The following is a 5599-nucleotide window of genomic DNA, read 5'->3' as shown; positions in this document are numbered from 1 at the left end:
ATAACAACACGCGTACATATGCCTATACTGAGCTCCAACTCTGTGCTGTGTACTGCATGAGGGACTTGGCCTATAGATTTATAGTTGATCCTAGTTATGACCATTATCATCCTTATTTATGAGTCCTTTGCACTGTAGTAGATGTTTCATACACTTAATTTTAATTCATACCCAGTACAAAGTCATAGTAAGGCATTACTGTCCATATTGTAGAGATAAGAAAACAGGTTCTGAAGTGTTAAAAATTAGTAGTAGCAGAACAGGAATTTCAACTGACAACATTAATGCTCTGACATTCTAGGAAAAATTACAAACGTAAAGAAACAAAAAATAGAAATTTAAATAGCAATACATATCTCTACGTTGTTTATAGGTAAAAAGATTTATTGCCCTGTTGGACACACAAGTAAACAATAGCATCCCAAATCTGAAAGTAATGGAATAACGAGCCTGATTCTCACTACATGCAATGTATCAGCCTTTTAAACACACTGTCCGCTCACTTTAGGCTCAAAATGTCCTGTTCTCTTTCTTTCTCTCCTTCTCTTTCTCTTTCTTCATAGACAAGCATGGGCATGTGCAGAAATTGTGACAAAATCAGGCACAGTATATAAGCAATACTTACCATGCTGTGGCTCGTATCATTATTGGCCAATTGTTTTTTTCATTATTTCAGACAAGTGAGTCTTTACCTGAGCTCTTAGTGAGAGCTGCTTTGCAACAAAAAATTGCAATAGTCTGTTGAATTGCTATTGAGATGCACTAGATTGTGGCTAAATCTACTGTCTTTGAGACTGTGGATAATGGAGTTTCCCTATGCTCGTAAGGTTAATATTATTTACAGTAAGATGATTTCCCTAGAGATGCTATTTTACTGTGGAATACCCTAGATTCATAGTACACTTTCAGCTAAGGTTCTGGACTTGTTATACCAATGCCATCTAATAAATTCATGTATCAAAACACAGATTCAGAAATTAATGGAAGCATGAACCTGAAGATTCCATTTCTAAAACCAACTTATCTTTTACTGTGGTGCAGAAAAAAAATATTACTCCAAGTGAGAGCTTAGTTCAATTTACTACTCAAATATTAAATTTTAAAGATTATTGGCACTTTAAAATGAACTCTTTTTGAAGTAATTTTTTTTAAAGAAAGAACAGATTGCTAAGAAAAACTAGTAAATTAGGAAAATGTAAGTAAAATTGCCATTTCTTATTTGAGGGAAAAAAAATGGCAGGGAGCTAATCCACTTCTTTCCTTGTGAGTGAAGGAAAACATCTTCCATGATTTGCAATTACATTGATTCAGGGTTTGCATCTCCCAAAGGACACTAATTGTACTTTTTCTTTAGTTCTGCTCTTGGGACAATAGGACAGATGAGATCTCAGAGCAAGAACTGGGAAAGAAAGATGCTGATTTGTGGCTGGGCCTTCTTTCCTGACAGTTGTAATTTCCTTTATTTTCACTTAACATCATTTTCTTCCTACTTTTTCTTTTATTCTGATATGTAGTTTTGTGGACTGAATGCTTGTGTATCCCCAACCCCCAACTAATATGTTGAAGCTCTCACCCATAGTGTGATGATATTTGGGGACAGAACTTTTAGGAGGTGATCAAGGTTAAATAAGGTCATAAGCAGGGGGAAAAGTGTATCCTAATCCAGCAGGACTTTTGGATTTATAAGAAGAGGAAGAGAGAAAGATCTCTTTATTCTTCATGTGCATCTACTGATCTCTTTATTCTTCATGTTCACAAAAGGCCATGTGAGGACACAGTGAGAAGATGGACATCTGCAAGCCGGGAAGAGAGGCCTCACCAGAAACAGAGTATGCTGGCACCAGAATCTTGGACTTGGCCGGTCTCCAAAACAGTGAGAAATAAATTCCTGTTGTTTAAGCCACCCAGTCTGTGGTAATTTGTTGTACTGTCCCGAGCAGACTAAGACATGTGGTTTGTATATTTAGTGTTTGAGGGGCACACTGGATAATGCCGAAGAATATGGGCTTTAGAAATAACTTGGATGTATATCCTGGTTTTGCCAGTTGGTAAGTTTGTGACCGTGGGCAAGTAATGTAATATTATCTTTGTCTAAATGTTCTCATCTGTAAAATAGATCAAAAGCAGCTACTTCATGGCATTGTTTTAAGAAAAAAGTAAGTTAATACAGCGGCCTAAACCTGAGACATGAACATTTTTAAAGTTGTGGACTGTTTGAAGGAAATCCATTTTCTGAACCTGAACTCCGCGTGTACTGTGCCTGAGAACTTGAGGCTGGAGGAGGGGTCATGCCAGAGTGTCATGCCTGTTTTCCTCTCTCTTTTCACAGCCTTTCTTTTCCACACTCCAATATAAGGCACACCTCTTACTCATCCAGAATCTTACTGTGCTGTTTTCACTAAATGCATAAATGTTCCTGTGCCAAACAAAGCAACTATATGAAATGGTGTTGTTAGTGTTGAAATAACGAATGATGGTAATAATTAAAAATATTTCTGCAAGTTTGGCGATTTCCAATATTTTGCTTTCAACAAAATTGAAGGAGGACCTAATTGAATTTTCAGGTGAAAGTATTAAGAATAATTAGGGATGGTTAGAGCCAAGAAATCTTTTATTCCTATCTACTTCTGTATGTGAACACAATTCTTAGCTTGTCATGTCCGTGTCACAATTTTTAAAAATTATTTTTGAATTTATGTATATATATTTTTAACTTAGGATGGTGGGTCTCAAATTCCTTTATGACCTAGCATCAGAAGGCAGAATGCATCACTTTGGCTGTAGTCACAAGCCAGCCCAGATTCAAGGGGAAGACACACAGATGCCACCTTTTGATGGGGAGCTATCAATGTCACATCATGAGAGGACATGACCGGCAGGTTATATTATTGCAGCCATCTTTGAAAAATACAAATTACCACATATTAAGTGGGGGAAAATTCTGCAACTTCAAAACTGCAAGGAATTTTTTGTTTCTATAAGTGGAGAAACTTGAATTTACCTTTGAGATCAGTTATATTCTTTGTTTTAGGGGAGAAATATAAACATTTTAATAGGGCTGTTCCTAAGGTAAGCTAATATCCCATTCTGGAACAGAAATATATCATAATAAAAAGTGGAATTATTCCACATTATAAATAAACTTTTTTCTTACTTAGCAATGAAGTCACCTCTCTGAAATTTGTTTTCTTTCAGAATAATAAAAAAACTCCCCATTTTATCTCCTTCTAGAGTCCTTGGGGAGTCCTGGTTCTGCATCCTAGTCCAGACAATTATGCTGAAGGATACTCCTGTGTGTGGAGAAGTTAAATCTAATGTGGCAAGAGTTTGGAGACTAGGGGCGGAGATATCCTCAAGGAGTTCCATTGGAATGCTTTGACCCAGAGGGTGCTGGGAGTATGTAATGTCTGGTTTTGAGTTTTTCTCTTCTTTTTGATATGGTAATTCTATATTATAATATCACAAAGGTTTAAGTAAAATTTAGCTTTATGTTACATTACATTTTGGGGTTCCTTGTTCTTTGTGGAATTAAGGAAGAGGCTTGTATTAGGATGACCAACTTCTCCTGGTTTGCCTGGGATTTCCCACTTTTGAACTGAAAAATATAATATTTCAGGAAATCGCTCAGACCTGGACAAATCAAAATGGTAGGCTACTTTGGCTGGAGTGTACACTTAGGATTAATTTGTTGGGAGAGAAGGGTAACAACCTGGACACGGCTAGTTTCAGGTCAGTTAGTGGCAAGCTTCAGAAGATGTGTACTGTGTCTTTCTTACTGGAATTTGCAGCTCAGATATTAAGCAAATGTTAAGAAAAATTATCAAAACCTTGGAAACAGGCAAATAAGATTATCGGATATTCTTTCAGTTTTGTGCTGGGTACTGTCCAGCAGAGGCTACATGGCATTATCTGATTCTCTAGGGGTTAGTACTTTTCTTTGACTTTCTATTTAGAAATGAACAGAATTTTTTTTGTCTCTGTAAAGGTAGACACTAACGTATGAAAACTGATACAAATGACTCTTTTCTGATAGTAATAGAAATGAATTTTATTCAAGAGATGCAAGTGATTTCCTGTAAAAAGAGATGACTCCTGAAAGTTACAGTTTTAATGCCTGATAAGATATTAACCAATTAATATTAGCATTAGCCAATTTAAATTAGAATTCTTACTCAACTCTTCTGTCTTTAAGCCACTATAAATACTTTGCTTTCCCCAATTACTTTGGAACCAGCCTCATGATCTTGCTGATACCCTCATTAATGTGATAAATAAATATTTGACCCTACTGATTTTTTGTATGGGTGGTGATTGTATCATTTTAAAAAATCATAGGTTCACATTAGGGATTTATAAAATACGTTAATATCCTTCAGAAACATCCAAGAAATTCATGGAGAAAGTGAAACTGGTAAAGCTCTGGGTTTCCTCCATCCAAGCAGGATGCAGACTTGGATTACTTGTATTGCAGACTAGTGATGTACATAGCCTTTATATAATGGGCCACTACATGGTAGGGAGTGGGGAGGGCATATTAGATTTAAACTTTGTAGTAAAAGAAGCATCTAAATCAATGATCTCCGCACAGTGGAGGATGTTTTTTAGATCGTTTCCGATAAAAAGTTGTAGTCCTAAGAAACATGGCTAGAAAACTCTTCCAGTGCAATGAGAGAACACTTTACAGATACCTAGAAGAAGATGACTTTCATAATATCTAGTTTTTTAAAGGTTTGAGACAGGTATGTTTATAGGGCTAGAGGTATTGAAATACACTTGATAATGCCTTGGTTCTTAAAATGTGAGTTTATAAAAAATTATAGGTAAAGAACATGGAAATTCTAAACTCTTGGTCAAACTGTATATAAATGACTTTTTTAGATGACAAAAAATGTATAACAGCAATTTTATACCATTCACTTGTGTACATTTGTCTTAAGACTTCTATTATTTAAATAAGAAGGAATTGGAATTCATTATCAGAACCATATTATTTATGTTTGAAGTTTGTTGAATATATAGAATTATCTATACTTGGATGACATTTTTGCAATAGCTAATAAATATTGGTATATTTTCCTCCTTTTCTTATTCCTTTCTTTTTCCCATAAAAGGAAAAAGCTTGCTGTTTGCTCATTACCACAGAGGAAAGTTATGAAGAGGTTAATTCGCTGACACAATAAATTGAGTTTTCCTAGCTTTAGTTTCAAAAGGCCTAAAAGCCTCACAATTATACAAGGTGACTGCATAAATATTAAGAGTTTCTCTGAGGAGAACATTTAGAGAACAATACATGTTCTCTCCCTCCTAGGGTTGGAGAAGGGAAAATAAATGTGATGAAGAGATTTGGATATTCCTAGAGGGAGATCTGACTATACAAAATAGTTATCTTCATAGAGTATGTATGAAATCTCAGTAAGATAACTATATCACCCTATATGTTTTCTTGCCCATGTCAATCCTCTTACTGGTTGCTCACTATAGCTAGAATAATGCAAGAGAAATACATATGCTGTGTGATGGTGTTATCAGTCACTGATGAATTTCCATTGTTCTGCAGATTAAAGCCTCTAATGTTTACATGACCACGGTAACATTGGTC

General features: G+C 35.5%; 1 long non-coding RNA gene across 1 annotated transcript; it reads left to right on the top strand.

Annotated features, from left to right (window-relative positions):
- The first annotated feature begins 1761 nt into the window (after positions 1-1761).
- Positions 1762-4292, top strand: LOC124901036 (uncharacterized). The gene is made up of 2 exons (XR_007058893.1): positions 1762-1873; positions 3232-4292. It is a non-coding gene; the product is annotated as an uncharacterized LOC124901036 (long non-coding RNA).
- Positions 4293-5599: the final 1307 nt, after the last annotated feature.

The sequence above is a fragment of the Homo sapiens genome, chromosome 5, assembly GCF_000001405.40.
Source record: "Homo sapiens chromosome 5, GRCh38.p14 Primary Assembly".
Lineage (NCBI taxonomy): Eukaryota > Metazoa > Chordata > Mammalia > Primates > Hominidae > Homo > Homo sapiens.
Note: the sequence above shows the minus strand (reverse complement) of the source record. Positions and strands in the feature narration are given on the sequence as shown.